Source organism: Homo sapiens, chromosome 6 (genome assembly GCF_000001405.40).
Source record: "Homo sapiens chromosome 6, GRCh38.p14 Primary Assembly".
Classification (NCBI taxonomy): Eukaryota; Metazoa; Chordata; class Mammalia; order Primates; family Hominidae; genus Homo; species Homo sapiens.
The window spans coordinates 43,791,094-43,807,079 of NC_000006.12; the positions used below are offsets into that span (position 1 = coordinate 43,791,094).

General features: G+C 52.0%; 1 long non-coding RNA gene across 3 annotated transcripts in view, besides 3 other annotated features; it reads left to right on the forward strand.

Moving 5' to 3' along the window:
• LOC105375070 (uncharacterized) overlaps positions 6,066-15,986 on the forward strand; it is a 107,357-nt gene continuing 97,436 nt past the window's right edge. For 2 of the 3 annotated variants that reach the window (XR_007059588.1, XR_007059589.1), the window contains exon 1: positions 6,066-6,257. This is a non-coding gene — a long non-coding RNA (uncharacterized LOC105375070). Of the gene's footprint in view, positions 6,258-13,057; positions 13,266-15,986 lie in introns of all 3 variants that reach the window. The other variant, XR_926833.3, reaches the window with a different exon arrangement.
• Positions 7,971-8,110: an enhancer, noted in NCBI's record as "active region_24617". NCBI's record gives its function as "activates an Ori minimal core promoter by ATAC-STARR-seq in GM12878 lymphoblastoid cells {active_cell/tissue: GM12878}" and the evidence as "EXISTENCE:reporter gene assay evidence [ECO:0000049][PMID:35858748]".
• Positions 8,169-8,753: an enhancer, noted in NCBI's record as "H3K4me1 hESC enhancer chr6:43766999-43767583 (GRCh37/hg19 assembly coordinates)". NCBI's record gives its function as "activates a minimal SCP1, AML or CMV promoter by ChIP-STARR-seq in naive H9 embryonic stem cells {active_cell/tissue: H9 hESC(naive)}" and the evidence as "EXISTENCE:reporter gene assay evidence [ECO:0000049][PMID:30033119]".
• Positions 8,871-8,920: an enhancer, noted in NCBI's record as "active region_24618". NCBI's record gives its function as "activates an Ori minimal core promoter by ATAC-STARR-seq in GM12878 lymphoblastoid cells {active_cell/tissue: GM12878}" and the evidence as "EXISTENCE:reporter gene assay evidence [ECO:0000049][PMID:35858748]".

Below are 15,986 nucleotides of genomic sequence, written 5' to 3' on the forward strand. Positions count from 1 at the left end.
AGCCAACAACACATAAAGTAGAGAGAAGCCATCCCTGCCCCAGTTTAGTGAGTTGTAAGCAAATGTATGCACTGTGTTGTTTAAAGCTACTAAGTTTTGGGGTGGTTATTATTCCTCAATAATAACTGAGCCATCTAACAAAACAGTCATTTCCTTGGCATTAGGGTGTTTGTCCCTTCCCATCCATAAGGTTTAACTGGTATTCATGAAGTGGATGGAGGGATGTTCAAGGAAAGAAGGGTGTGTTTATAAGGGAATCAGAGACCAGGCATCTGCCATGGTGGTAAGTTTGGTGAGAAGTCAGGGTAAGGGCTGACCCAGGCAGGACAAAATATTGTCCTAATTTCTAGAGTGAGGAGAGTGACTTGGTTGTACTGGAGTCTTACCAAGAGAAAGTGGGCCTCACCTACAGCATGGGGGATAGAGGATAGAGGATGAGAAGAACTGCCAGAGAGCACAGCATGAGGGATTTGGAGGAAAAGACTGTGGAATCCTTTTCTTCCCTTCTTCCTTCCATCCTCCAGCGTTTATGGAATACCAGCCATATGTACTATGCCCTGGTGCAGGGATGGTCTCTCATTTACTAGGAGGGGCTTTAGCATGAGCCAGCCTAGAGGTGGGGGATGGATGGGCTGACCCTTGGAAGGCTCCATCAGGTTGGCTTCAGAGTTGCTGGGAGAGAGATAATTCAGCTACATCCGCAGGACATTGTCCATTAGGACATGGGACTAGGGGAGGGCAGGGAAGGAATCAGTAAATATTTATAATCTGCCTAGAAAAGGAAAATGCAAGGCAAAGACAGGGCTTGACTGAGCATCTGCTGAGAAGGAACAGAAGGGGTGACGTGGAAGGGGAAGAGCTAGAACCCAGGGAGCAGTGAGTCAGAGGAAAGGGCCCACTAGGCACAGGTGCCTATGGTGCAAGGCTGGGCTTGAGTCTCCCAGGACAAGAGGGGGCCGGGATCTGACAAAGATTTTCAAAGGCTGCGTTTGCCTTTGGGGAGTTAGTCTCTCTATGAGGGAAGTGCAAGTACTGCTCCCAGGGAGCTCCCAGTCTCAAGGAGGATTGACATGGCCCTGGCCCTCAGGATGCTCCCGGTCCTTACAGAGTATCTAATCTGAGGGAGGAGACAGAGCTTCTGCCATCAGACATTTCTTTGGATACTAGTTTCGGGAAGGCACCACCCTGCCACCATTTGGCTGTTGCACTGTTCGGAGTCACCGGATGCTGGTACCCCATCCTTCCCTCCACTCTCGGTGCGCATTCACAATGCTCACAGGGCTTCTCTTGTGTTTGTCATCAGCCATGCGTGGCTCACCAGCCTGGGCCCTGATTTTCTCCACACATCCCCTGACGGTCCCTGGGTCTGGCTCCAAGTGGAGCAGATGCTAGCACATGTCCCTTTCCTGGGCTTCTCCTGTCTCCTCTCCTGGAGAGGCCTGAGAACCCTGTTCATCAGCTCCTCAGACTTCCTGCAGGAAGACTGTTCCCCTACTCCCTGTCTGTAGCTCATCCAGCTGTCCTGGGGCTGGAAGCTTCTGAGGAGGTGATGCCCTGTGAGGCCCGGCCATAGGGACCTCTCTTTGGATGCCTCTGCAGAGCCTAATCTGGGCCGCCCTAAGTCCCATCAAGACTTCTGACAGATCTAGATTGGAATCCTGGGTCTGCCACTGGAGAAATTACTTGCCTGCACCTCAACTTTCTCATCTAAAATGGGCACAGTAACACCTACATGATGGAGTTTGAGGGCCTGAAGTGACATTGACATGTAAAAGTACCTCATGAAGTGACTGGTACATAGGATGTCCTAAAAAAAAAAGTCATTATCATCTTGTTGTTATTCTAGTCTCCATGCCAATGCTTTTTCCTCTCTGAGTGCCCCCTTTAGTACATTTTGGTTGTTTGTGGGGCTTTTTTCCCACTTTTTAAAAAAACCTGAAATGGTCTGGCTGGATTTTATAACCATTTTTGCAAGCATGCATCCTTACTCTCCTGCTGAGGAGTGAGGCACGCCAGGGCAGGTTCAGCCCTGGAGCCCAGCAGTGAGAGAAAGGGATTGGACTGAAGGGAAAAGAGGGTGTGGAGAGCCCTTCCTGGTAGGGATGATGCCCTGTGGCTTTGAACCCAGGACCAGGTACAAGGTGGGCTTGCATGAGTATTTGTAGAATTAATGAACAAATGAACAGGAGCAGAATGCATGGCCAATCTTCTCTTAGGTCCCCCAAACACACTGGGAACCTCCAGTCTGATGGAGGAGGCCGGATGTCCACCCTTATACACACAGCTGTGCTCTGGGCAAGAAATGCTGAGGCTGGGCAGGGCTGCTTGGGCCAGGCTGCAGTGGACGGATGCCCCCAGGGCTGTCTTCAGAAGCTCCCTCAAGGTGGAAACCTGTCTGTTCCAGGATGTTTAGGTGAAATGATTTGTGGTATAGGTATGGAAGGGCCTCTGGGACCCAGGCAGGGGAGAAGCCCTTCCCTGGGACTTTGGAGAGCTGGGAGCTGCCATCTCCTGGGGAGGCCACAAGAGGATGTCTTCTGGGGAAATATTCAGGGAGGGTGTTTGCTTTTGGCTCCCAAAGGCATCTCCACCCCCACCCCAGGTCTCCCCTACTTCACTCCCCAGGGTTCCCTCCCAGCTGCTCTCCTGGCCAGCCTGAGATAGAGAGAGGATGGCAGGGCTTGCTGGGCCCCTGAGGCTGGGACTGGTGGGGAAGGTCTGGCCCCAGCAGATGCCCTCCTGAGGCGTCCTCGCTTCTGGAGCGAGACTCCTACTATAGATCTTCTTTCACACGGGTACATCCACACGGGCTCGCACACACACAAGTGTGACAGGGGTCACTATTGCCAGTCACGGGGCAGCCGCCTGGTTGGGTAAGGGTTCCTAGGGGCTGGGTGAGGCCCAGCTGGGGGAGCCAGCATCTCGGGACGAGCCCCCATGGGGCTGGGGGTTGGGGGCTGACCTGGCTGCGGTCCCATGACCCAGAGCTGCCCTCTGGGAACTGCTGACTGTTCAGCAATAAACACCTCATGGCTATTAATAGTCTTCTGTGTGGCAGCCCAGAATTGATAACACTGGGTCACTTCTGGCCTGGCCCAGCCTGACTGCCTGGGTTCAAATCCTGGCTGCAATTTCTGAGCCCCGAGGTCCAAAACCCAAACCCCAAACACAGCCCCAGCTCCGACAGCTTCTCAGCTATGTTTAGGACAATTACCTTTCTGCATCTCACTTGCCATCTCTGAAACAGGCACCATGATATCTATTTCACAGTGTTTCGTGTACATATGATCATGTCATCCTCCCCACACCAGACATTGGCAGTAGTGTCCCCATACTAGAGCTGAGAGTGCTGGTGCTCAGGGAAATGCAGATGGTTATAGGAGGATGACTGGCATGCAATAAGGGCCCGATAAAGGTTAGCTATTGTCGTCGTGATTTGGCACAAGGATGTAGGAAGAGAGGATTTGAAATCGGACAGAGCTGAGCTCTACTTTTGACATCAGTAGAGTTTTCTAGCTCTGTGACCTTGGGCAAGTTGCTGGATCTCTCTGGGGCTCATTGTCTTGCTCTGTAAAATGGACATGGCAACACCTACCTCCCAGGTGTTGATGTGGATTATATTAGACAATGAACACACAGTGATTGCCACTTAAAAGGGAAGGAGGGAAGAAGAGACCTGGAGTGAGGGGAAGAGTTCAGCTGGATGCTGGTAAAACCCACCCCCAGTCCCCTCTTAAGGGGCTCAATAAATATGGTACTTGTAGAATGAATGAATAAATGAACATTAGTCACCTCACCCTGTCAGGGTCCCCAAGAGCAGGGACAAATTCTCTCTGATTAGCCCGTGTGCTCCCTGATGGTGAGGGTATGACCTTGGGCCTTCTCCCTTGGGGAGAAAGGGATCTACGGATCCCTTTAGATGAACCATCTAAAATGCCGAGCCTTTTTGGGGATGGTTCATTCTCTTGGTGTGGCAACAGCCAGTGCAGAAACCCACAAGGAAAAATGGAAACAACTTTTCCTTTCCTTCTCGTAATGAGGTGCAGGCAGGGCACAGGGCCCTAAGCCCTGGGCACAGAGTCTCAGGCCTACAATTAATCCCTTCCCAGGATGTGGCCCCAGGCTCGGCTCCTGGCTGCATCCCCAGCATTGCTCTGTGCCCCACTCCCCAAGTCCTAGTGCTTACCCCCCATTCTGGGGACTGGGGAAGGGTACATTTTGCTGGCAAAGATTATGGGAGCCCAGGGAATGCCTTCTTGTTGAGGCCAGCGGGGCTCATCCCCTTTCCTTGTGACTGTGGTGACCCCAGCCACACCCTTGACACTGCCTAAGTCTCTGGCAGCCATAGTAAAAACCCAAATGGTGGTGCTGGTGGTGGGTGGAGGGCACGCAGTGGGGAAAGGGGGCAGAAGAGACATGGGGGTGAGGGGAAGGGCTCAGCTCGATGCTGGTAAAACCCTCCTCCAGGCCCCATGACTTCGGAGAAACTGCCTCTCTCCCACCCCGGCCCCCAGATGCCAGTGGTGTGCCGGCCGTTGGCGTTTGCTTCACAGGAAGTGTCCCTGGAGTCTTGCTTATCTTGAATGGGTGGCTGCTGGGAGGGGGCAAAGGAAGCCATTTCTTCCCTCGCCCACCATTACATGTCCACTCCAAAGGCTATCTCTTGCATCCCAGACCATCCTCTCTCCCTCTCTGAAGGTGGGAAGGAGGTATCCATGATCTGAGGACTACCTTCTAGGGGATGGGGGGTCCCAGAGCCCCTCATCTCTGTCTCACCCTCACCCTGGGTCAATACCAGGTACCTGGACATGAAGCTCTTCCTCAGTTTCTCCTGCTGTCTGTTAGTCCTGCATGGGCCTCAGGCCTCTCTGGTCAGCTGGCCTTCTGGGTCTGAGGAGGGAAGATCCTAGAAGTAAGTTGTCAGATGCAGCAAATAAAAACACGAGGTGCCCCATTAAATTTTCATTGTTTGTGTGAAATTCAAATTTAACTGGGCATCCCGTACTTTGTCTGGCAACCCTGCCTGGATGGAGTGGCTGGACCTCCCTCTTGCGAGTTCTCAGTTGCTTTGCTGCTCCCCTTCCTCCTCCCCAGCCTTCTCACTGCTTTGCTGCTGAGGTATCCAGTGTAGACATTGTGTGTGGGCCCTCGTTCTGGATTTGTCCTCACTTTCTGCCTGCAGCAGAGATCTGAAACAAATTAGGAGCTCTCTGAGGGCACAGGCAGTGTCTCCCCCATCAGACTGGGAGCCTCCTTTGGATTGAGTCCATGTGACCTTGTAGCCAGGCCACTCCCCTTTCTCCTTTTCATCGTGCTCTGGAGGACCTGGCGCTGACCCTCAAGGCTGACCTTTTCCACAGGCTTAGCATAGCCTTCACTGCTGCTACCTGCAGAAGCTCTGAGAGAGCCTCAGTAAACATCCGTCTCCTCCTCCCTGATGACCTGCCGGTGGGAATTCTCTTCCCCAGTCCTCATTCTGCAGGCAGCTATCTCCGAGTCCCTCAGGCTCTGGAAACTTCCAGTGGAAACAATTCTCTGGGAGCCAAGACCCCAGAGCTCTGGCTGGGGCTCTGTCACCAACCAGCCCTGTGACCTCAGGCAGCTCTTGGTTGTTCTCTGGGCCTCAGTGTCCCTACCTGTACAATGGCACTATATCTAGCTTGCTGACCTTGGGGTAGGGTTTCCAAAATGCACATTGTGATCTATGTGGGTCATGAAGTCGATTTAACAGCATGCAACCAGCATGATTCTTTTTCTTAAATAGGAAGAGAATAGGGCAGAAAATATTTAGTCTTGCATAGAGTAAGGGTAAGTATTGTTTCTTGAAACTTGTGTGGAGTGTGTGTGTGTGTGTGTGTGTACATGCGTTCTGGGTCATGAGGTAGGATATATTTTTCAGGGGGGTTGTGGTAAAACAAAAAAGTAAGGAAGTCAGTACTGGAAGCTGTGACAGAAGGGTGACGGTGGCAACTGGAGACCCGGACGTGGTCTCTGCTACTTCTCCACGTCACGGAGATGACAGGCCCACTTACAACCTCCTGTCTGGGGTTCTTCCTTGCTCTCTTGAGTAGTCTTCCTGCCCTGCCTCTGCTGAGCTCATGCCCCTCTCTACCCAGAGCCCAGGGCCCTCCCAGCTGAGAGCTCTCAGGAGCTAGTCTGGTTCCCTGGGCCACTCCAATAAGAGAAGAAGATTCTGGGATCCACAGCCTGGTGGTGTCCAGTCTGCCCAGCTGCCTCCGGCCTGGTTCTGCCTCACGGTAATAATACTGGATTGGGAAACTGAAGCTTGGGCCAAGTGGAGGAACATGGCTCCCTCCTAGCTTTCCCAATGCCCCGTACCCTGGGAGGGATACTCCTTAACCCCTTCCTGGGGCGGGGGAGGTGTTCTGGGGTCCAGGTGGGTGAAAAACGACAAATAGAGTGTGAGTGGCTGATGACCCTCAGCTTTGTGGCTCCTGCCAAATCTCTGATTTCTGGATCACACTGCCCTGTCTTTCCTCTAAGGAACCATATCTAGGTGTGAACCACATTAACCAGGAGAATTTGAGGATAAAACAGGTGGAATATGGGAGACACCTGGTGGTGATGGCTATTTAGATGGTTTCATCAGTACATGGGCCCCTCTCTGTGGGTGCTGTCATCCTGGGTCCAATTCACAGAGAAGAAACCAGGCTGAGAAGAACTGGCCTAGAGTTGGGTCATACTCAGTCAAGAGAGGAAGATTTGGGAAAAAAGGTGGGACTGAAAGCTCTTGACCTGTGGGAGAGTCAGGAAGAGAACAGCCCCATCCTCAGGGAGCCCCACTCTGAGGGAGACACAGCCCCGTCCTACGGGAGCCCCAGTCTGAGCGAGGTTTAGCCCCATCCTCAGGGAGCCCCAGTCTGAGGGGAGACGCAGCCCCGTCCTACGGGAGCCCCAGTCTGAGCGAGGTGCAGCCCCATCCTCAGGGAGCCCCAGTCTGAGGGGAGACGCAGTCCCGTCCTCAGGGAACCGCAGTCTGAGGGAGATGCAGCCCCGTCCTCAGGAAGCCCCAGTCTGAGGGAGACGCAGCCCTGTCCTCAGGAAGCCCCATTCTGAGGGAGATGCAGCCCCATCCTCAGGGAGCCCCAGTCTGAGGGGAGGCACAGCCCTGACTCAGGGAGCCCCAGTTTGAGGGGAGACACAGCAGTGTCTTTAGGGAGCCCAGTCTGAGGGGAGACACAGCAGTGTCTTTAGGGAGGTCCCTTTAGGAGTTCAACCCCTTGGTCCTTCTTCTGAGGTAGTGGGTTTTGTGGGGCACTGGAGGCCCAGAGTTGGCTGTTTGAGGAAGAGTCTTTCAGGGCATTGCCATTCTTTGTCATTCTTTACTGTAGCCAGAGGTGTGGTGTGATCTGAAGGGTCCCGGGCAGGTGTCCTCCTTCCCCTCCACTGTGCCCACCATCACCCTCCTAGTTCTTTCCCTTCAATCATTCACCGTAGTCTGTAATCACCATGCCCCACCTTAAATTAAGGTCTAGAAAGGATCTTGGAGACGTGTGAGTCCCAGATCAGAGGAGGGAACTGAGGCCCCAAAAGAGAAGGGGAGGAATCTTGTGTGAGGTCACCCAGGGAGTTAATAGCAGGGCCTAAATCTCAGAGCAGTGCTTTGGGCTTATGGAGAGACTCTGGGAGATGTGGGGCCACCCAGCACACATGTGAGCAGAGAGGCGCTGTGAAGGAGTGTGTGTGTGTGTGCGTGTGTGTGTGTGTGCAGGGGTGAGTGGGGTTAGGCGTCTGGGTCCCCTGTGAGCAGATGGGAGTTCATATGGGTGTCTGCTGCAAGGCGTCTGGCTATTTTCCTATGTCACAGTGTGGGGTGGAGCAGGGAGGGACAGGCCTGTAGCAGGGACATCAGACTGGTCTTATGAGTCCTGGCCCAGCCCTCTTGAGACCAAGGGCAGAGGGCGATGAGTCACAGATGACTCAGGTGCTGGAGGCCACAGCCACGCATGGCACGTGACAGCCAAGGAGGGCCAGGTCTATTTCTGGACCGGATAGACAGGTGACCCAGGAGGCTGACACTGAAATCTCTCTTCCTAGAGGATAGGAGGGATTCTATTCACAGACTCAGAGCCTGGGCCCCTGGGATGGGGCTGAAAAGACGGCCTGTGGGCTTACCTGTCCCTTGGAGCTTTGCTCCACTGGCTGGTTGAGCTGTTACTTCAGTGGGGCAGGGCTGTCCTGAGCCATCCCCATTCTCCTGAAGATGTGCGGTTAGGGTCACTCTCCACTGGGGATGAGTTCTCCCTGGCCCTTTGGATGCCAGCATCTAGCAGCAAAGCACCCCTGCCCTGCCTTGGTAATGCAGTGTCTGACCACAGACAGCCCCTCTTCTTTGTCTGAGGCAAGGGAGCCAAATCCTTGACCTGCCACTTGACCCCAAGGCCTAGGCCAGAAGATGAGGTAGTCTGGGGTGCAGACAGTGCCTTGGGTTCAAATCTCACCCTGAGACCTGGAGTTACATTGTTTCCTCTTGGGGCCTCAGTTCCATCCTCTGTACCCCGTGGGGGTTGTGCTTGAAGGCTCAGGGGTCCCCTCTAGCTGGCTCCTCATCAGGCCTTGAAGGCTGGGCTGACGGCGAGGCCTTGAAGCTGCCTCCTCTCTCTTGCCTATGTTTGAGGTGGGGGACTGGGGAGGGTTGGCTGAGGATAGAAAGTCCTGGCCTGGTAGGGGCATGCCTCAGGGTCCCCGGTCACCTGAAACACAGTGATGATTACAGGGTGAGCCTCTGGGACCAGACACTGTAATCTGCTGCCCTCCTTCCTGCCAAGGGCCTACTGCAGCATTTCCTTCTGCTTTTCACAACTGTTTTCTAAGAACCCCAGGAAGGCAGAGGCCTCATCTCTGAGGGGTGCGGCAGAAGACTAAAGAAGAGGGGAGGGAGAAAATGGAGATGGTGAGAGAGGAAGGGAGAGAGGATGAAAGGATGAGGGAAAGGAGATGCGTGAGGTGTGGTAGACATCAGAAGGCTTTTCCCTGGTTGACAGTTTGAGGAAGAGGAGGGGAAAGAAGAGTGGGTGGGGTCATTCTCTGCCTCTAAGCTCCCAGCTTAGGTGCTCCTCCTCAGAAAGACTGCCCTGACCTCATTACCTAAAGTAGCAGCCTCCTCCCCACCTCAGTCACTTTCTATCAATTGCTGCATTTAATGAGGAAGGGCTGAGTCAGCTCATGTCACTTTTTGGCTCAAATCCCCGCAGTGGCTCCTGGTCTTCCTCAGACTAAAGACCAAAGTCCTTACGATGGCCTTCAAGGTCCTACATGATTCCTTTCCAAGAACAGCAAGTGTGTTCTTCAAACACATCTGGCATACTCCTGACCCAGGGCCTTTGCACAGCTTTCCCCCTCTGCCTGGAATGTTCTTTCTCCAGATATCTGCAGGACTCACTCCCTTGCCTTCTTCAAGTCTTTGCTCAAACATCGCCTTCTCAATGAGGCCTGCCCTGGGCATCCTATTTAAAATGGCAATATTCTTCCTACACTCTCCAGCCCTCTTACCCTATACTCTTTTATCTTTTTTTCTAAACACTTACCACTCTTTAATGTTTTCACATTATAAAATGCATGTATTTATTAAGTGCATTGTGTACTTTCTGTCTCCCCTCACCTTGAATTTAAGTTTTACAAGAGTTGGTGTCTTTGTTTTATTCACTGATGTGTCCTAAGTCCCTGGAATAGGACCTGACACACAATAGATACTCAACTTGTGGAGCAAATGGCACCTGTCACTGTGGGTGATGATCTCTCTCTCTCCCTCTGTGTACACGCTCCCCACGCACCCATCGACCTCCCTGAGGATGCCTCACTCAGAATAGCAGTTCCATGAGAGCTGGGAACTGCCTATCTTGTTCATACTTGTGCTCTCAGCACGTGTCTGGCACAGAATAGGTACTCAGTAAATATGTGTTGGCTGGATGGAAGGGACCTGAAACAGAGGCCAGGGAGAGTGGGAAGACAGGCCAGTCACTGGCAACAGGCCCGTAATGAGAGGATTCTCGAGGAAGAGAATGGAAAGGTGTCCGCTGGTCATTATGAGGCCCCTAAGATCCTCCTATCTGAACAGAAGAGATGCTCCTTCAGATCTGTTACACATGTACACACGCACACAATCCAGGACCATCACACACCAGTATATAGAAGGAGAGAGCACTGGAAACTGCTGCCAGGTTGATGATGGCATCAGGCTTGACCACTAGGGGCTTCCTGGAGGAGGTGGCCTAGGGCTAGACCAGCACCGGAGCAAAAAAGTTCAGGACATCTCCAGTCAGAGGTAAAGAAGGATGAAGGAAAGAAAGAAGGGGATGTGGCAGAGGTCAGGGAAGGCCCAGGAGAGAGGCAGGGCTGACTGAGGCTAGGACTGAGACTGGGGCTCGTCAAGGTCAGAAGCCTTGGGTTTGGGGTCCAGTAGGACTACACAGGATACAGAGTTGGAGGAAAAGCCTGGATTTTCCCAACCAAAATCCCTAGAGGAAGGAATTTTCTGTGTCTTCCTCTGGGGTTTGCATTGACAGGCACAGGGCAGATGGTCAGTGTTGTCCTCTGATTGAGGGCGCCCAGCGGGAGTGCCGTGGCAGGATCTAATGCCCAAGTTCCCCTCAGAACGTGGCGCCGGGAATGTGATTCAGTGTATAATTCCAGCTGGTACTTTTTTCCCAATAAAAAGAAACGCCTTCATTCTCAAAGAAGATGATTATAAAAGAAAAAAAAAATCTCTTGACTTACAGAAAGAACCATGCCCAAATCTAGTGACCATGGTTCGCACAACATGAAAATCAGATGAGAGGGAGCACGAGTGAAAGAAGCTCAAACACAGGGCGTGAGGTGCCCCTGCCAGCCTCGGTCCCTGACCACACGGCCCCGCCTTTGGCTGGAGGGAGAGCCCTGGCTGTCAGCCGCACGGTGTGGAAAGCCCAGAAGGAAAGCAGTTTTGAAATTTTACTTGTGATTGATACACTTTTGGCCACGTTGGCTATTTTCAGAGCCTAGCTCCCCCATCCTCTGTCACAGACACCTTTGAGTTCTTTAAATGGCTGTATCTTTTGTTGTCATATGGACACATGGTCTTTATAGTACATTCAGACAGAACAGGTTTTGTGAGCAAAGGATATCGAGCTTTTTTCCCTGATATACAAATTGCAAGAGTTCGTTCTCCTCATAAGCCTGTTACTTTCTTATACCTGTGAACGGCACCTCCATCCCCACAGCTGCTCAAGCCCAAAGACGCATTCATAATCTGACCATCCCTTCGGGTGATCAAAGCCATCAGCAATCCCGGGGCCTGCTCTGCTTCAAAAATACTTCTGTCCTTGTTCCCCTCTTTCTACCATCTGGCTTCAGCTCCATGGCTTCTCCATTCCTCTCCAGCTTCTCCAATTCTTTTTCCTCCCAGCAGCCAGAAACCACTTTAATGCCACAGGAAGGATCATGCTACCTCTGTGCTTAAACCCTCCCTGCACACAAAATAAAGCCTGCCTTCATCGCCTGTCCACAAGGCCCGGCCTTGTCTGCCTCCTGACCATCTCTTCAGCCTCCTTGCAGGCCCCTCTCACCCTCTGCACACAATAATCTCTCCTTCCTTGAACATATCAGTGTTGTGTCCGCTTAGGGACTTCGTACTTGCTGTTCCCTCCTTCAGGAACATGCTGCCTCCACATCTTTGCATGGATACCTCCCCCTCACCTTTCAGGATTCTGTTCATATGTCACCTCCTCCAAGAGGCTTTCCTTGAACACCTCTCCCCTCCTCCCTTGCAATATAAATGGCATCCCCAAGTTGCTTGCATTCCACTCTTTTAATTTTCTTCATGGTATTTATCTCTAGCTAAAATTTATTTGTTTACAGATTGACTTTCTCTCTCTAGGATTTCAGGGGAGCAGGAACCTTGCCTGGGTGATTGTCGAGACTGTTGGCCCCATGACTAGTGCTTAGGGTTCAATAAATATTTGTTAAGCGAATGAATAAGTGAATGAATGAATGAATGAATGCTCTAACCCTGCCTTTGCTGAACTTCTAGAGATTGTGCAACCTCTCTTACACAATCAGGAGCTTGGTAACCTTGTTTGCACTCTCATTCCAAGGATTTCAGACTTGCTTTGCCAATCTTGTTGCAGCTCATCAATTCTTGGCAGCCCCACCCCTCCCAGCTGGGCCCAGGACGCACAGTAGGTCCTCAGCGCACACCCATGGGACTGAGTTGGTGAATGTAGCCTGGCTCTTGTCCTGATTATCTGGGTGACTTCAGGCAAGTCAGTATGCCTTTCGTTGTTTATAGTTCTCATCTGTAAAGATAAAGAGGTTTGTACAGATGGTCTCTAAGATTCTGTTTGACTTTCAAAGACCAGAACAGAATTAACCAGTTCAAAAGAAGAGCTGTGGGTGGGTGGGGGTTTTAGGTGGATTGAGAGAGGATGGGTGGGGGTAAGGGAGAGGGTAGTGAGGAGTTTGGAGGGGGATTAAATGGGACTTTCTTCCCAGGGCCTTGAGGACTGGGCTTTGGGGGACTCTCAGGGTGAGGTTTGATCCCTGAAGTTCAGGCTTGGCCCCTTGTTATTTCCTGCTTTCCTGGGGCTGTGGCTGTGGCTGTGGGAGACTTGACCCAAGAACGGACAGCCTCTCTTTTTCTGCTCTGCCATAGAGCAGAGCCCCAGCCTGGAACACACGAGCCCTCTGAAATTACCTGCACAGTCTTGGGGGTATGTGAATGAATGTCCTTTGGGGAAAGAAAGTCCTTATCTTTTATCAGATTCTCCAAGGGATTTCTGCCTTACAAAGTTTAGAAACCTGTATTTAGAAGGCCAGGCTGAACTAAGAAGATAAGTCATAGGAGGAGGAGAAGGAAGAGGAGAGAGGACCCAAATCCTTTTATTTTAAAATGTCTTTTCTGGACCTTAGTTTCCTCATCAGTAAAATTAGAAGTTTGGGTGATCTCTGGTAACATCCAGCATTTAGAATAATAATGCCTAATTTTACTTTGTACATTATCTCCTTTGCTCCTTTCAAAAGCCATGTGACTGTGTTTCTCATCAGCATCCCTGTTTTTCAGGTGACAACACTGAGGTCTGGTGACTCACCCAGGGTCATGCAGCCTGTGAGTGGCAGAGTGAGCCGGGAACCTGGCTGCTGGCTGAGAAATTTCAGGGCTTCTTCTTTGAGTGCCCAGCAGGATTGCAGCACCACATGGCTCTGGGGCTCTCCCACTGGCCAGTCTGGGCTGAAGGGAATGAAGTGAAGAGAGGGAGTTTCCCCTAAAGGTTGGTTGTTAATGATATTGCAGAAGAGGAAGAGGTGGTAGGAGGAACAGGTCATGCCCAAGTGGAAATCCTCAGCTCCTTCCAGCTGATCTAGAAGGCCTCCTGGACAAGGGGACACTTGGGGAGGTGGGGAACTGGGCCTCAGCTTGGGGAAAGGGAGGCATTCCTAGGCAGCGGAAAGCATCCTTTCTGGTGGGTAATCCAGTATTTATGGTGTTTTTGATGACTGGAATGCGGGTGTGGGTTCCCTATTGGACTTTGGGCTCTGCTGCAGGCCTCAGGCTGGGGAGACATTTTGGAATGTGTCCCTTGCCTTCTAGGGCCACCTTTGGCCTCACCTGCTGTTTACCCTCTTCTTCCTCCCCCTCTTCCCCCCTTGGCAGCCTGAGCTAGTGCCAGGAAATTGTTGGTCAAAGGTGAGGTCACCAAGAACCTGGAAAAACAACAGGTCTCCATTAACCTTGTTTACCTGCCAGGTAACTGTTGCTTTACAAAGGTTCTTTCGCCCCTTCTTTCATTACCTGCATTTCCTGCTCCCGTAAAAGCTCAGATCAGCTGAGCAGATTTTGGTGGGGGGTTCCTTCAAGATAAACCCTCCTGAGAGGCTTTCCACTCTTCTATTTTCTGGCATGTGGTCTGTATCTATTAGGTCATATCTCAGACTGTGTGGTCACCTGAGTTTAGATGCTGGCTGCCCAGCGAGACTGTCAACAACTTGAGGGAAGGGCTGTGTTCATTTACATTCTCAGGGCCTGGCTTCTAATAATGTCTGCTGCTTCAATGGATGGATGACTGAATGAATTAATGAATGAGTGGGATGGATGTCCTGGGTTTCTATTTCAGAACTCACCTCCCCTAGGAGGTCTCCTGGGGTTACTTCCAGCCTATTCTTTGCATCTTATTCCCATCTTTGGTCTGCCTAATCTGTCCTGATTTCTTCATGCTGTTTTTCTCAGAGTTTTTCATAAGGAACCAAAAACAACTGAGCCATGTGGCCCTCTGACAACCTCCCCAGGGCCCTGCAGACAGCAGACTCCTGATCAATGGTCACTAACTGACCAGCTTATGGGATCTGGGCCAAAGGAGAGCCAGGGAGGTCAGATTGTTTCTTGAGGTCACCCAGCTGTGAAAGAACTTGGGCCCATCCTTGGCCAAACCTGCACATCATCACTCAGACCTGGGGCTTCCTTCTGTGTGCAGAGCTGATATTTAAACACCATTGATGTCAATGCATCTATTCACTCAGAAAATATTGGGACCGTGCTTGCTCTGGCTCTCTGTGTTGAAGATGATACAGTTCCTTTACCTCAAAGAGGTCACAAACCAATCAGGGAGATGAGATATTTACCAGAGCAGTTCCTCAGCACTGGAGCCAAAGGTTGGGACAGTCAGAGAAGGCTTCCCAGAGGCGCTGGCACTTGAGGCCCTTGAAAGATTCTTAATCACTTATTTGGTGTAAGCTGTTTAAGAGAGCTTTGCTCATCTTGGTTAGTCCAAGATGTGCCTGTGACCTGTTTGTGGTCCTGGTTCACAAGGAGGAGGGACAGTAGTGGCTATCCCCTGCATCAGCACCCCCTGTTCCATCACTGCTACCGAGGGCTGCAAAGCCACAGGACTAGCTGGCAGTGAGAGGGCCCGTTGCCTGCGTGTAGACACCGGGATCAGAGATTGGCTGAGACACACCAGAGGCCCCACAGTGACCCAGGGCGGAGCAGGGTCTAGAACCTAATAGTCCTGATTCCCACCCCTGTGCTCTCTCCGTGGATGCCACCACCCAGTTGCCTTTACGAGGCCAGTGCCTTCTGTGGGTCAGTACCTTGGGCTCTGGGCTGGGTGCTGGGTGTAGCTGGGGTGGTCCTTACCATGGTCCCCCTTTTCACACGATGGGCATTGAAAGGATAGCCCAGACTGAGACCCTTGTCAGAAGGAGGTGGGGTATGAACAAAGCCTAATGATCCAGGGAGAGAGGATGCCTATCAGAGAGGGTACCACTCCCCTGGACCTGCATGCATAGCGGAGTTACCATTATTCACATGCAGGGCAAGCCTATCAGAGAGGAGTCAGAGGGAGGAAGGCTGACAGAAGTGGCTCTCTGGGATTCCCAGCTGAGGCTCTCGCACTCCCGGGTCTTGTTTTCCCTAACAGCCTCAGGGCACAAAGTCCAGTGGTGTGATTTTGTCATCTCTTCCCAGGGCAGCCTTAAAGGGCCAGTGCCTCCTCTCAGGGTTAATGATTACCTGTTGGGTCACCAATAGACCCAGGTGTCCTTGTGTGTGAAGACGGTTGGGCGGATGGGTGGGAGGTGGTGAAAGAGGGGTGGCCTGCCTGAAGAGGAGGCTGGGGCTTCCTTTAAATACATCCTCATAGAGGCTGCCTCCTGGAGCTCTCCTGGTTAGCCTTGGGTCATGAGGAGGGATCTGTCTTTAATGGCTAACAGCACAGGGAACCAACCTGTAAACCCCAAAGGGAGGGTAAGATTTATCTAGGGTGCTTCCCCCCAGCTCTGACAGGACAGATTCCCACAGTAGGAGGTGGGGGACTCTCCTAGCCGAATGGGAGGTGAGGGTATGTCTTAGACCTCAGAGGGTCAGGCCTTGGCTAGGGCAGGACCCTGGGACCCTTACTATCTCCTTCCCCTATACACATTCATGTCCCACCAGACCTGGAAGGTGCCCCAGTGTGACCCTGACTCGACCCGACCACAGTCGCAGTCTTTCTCCC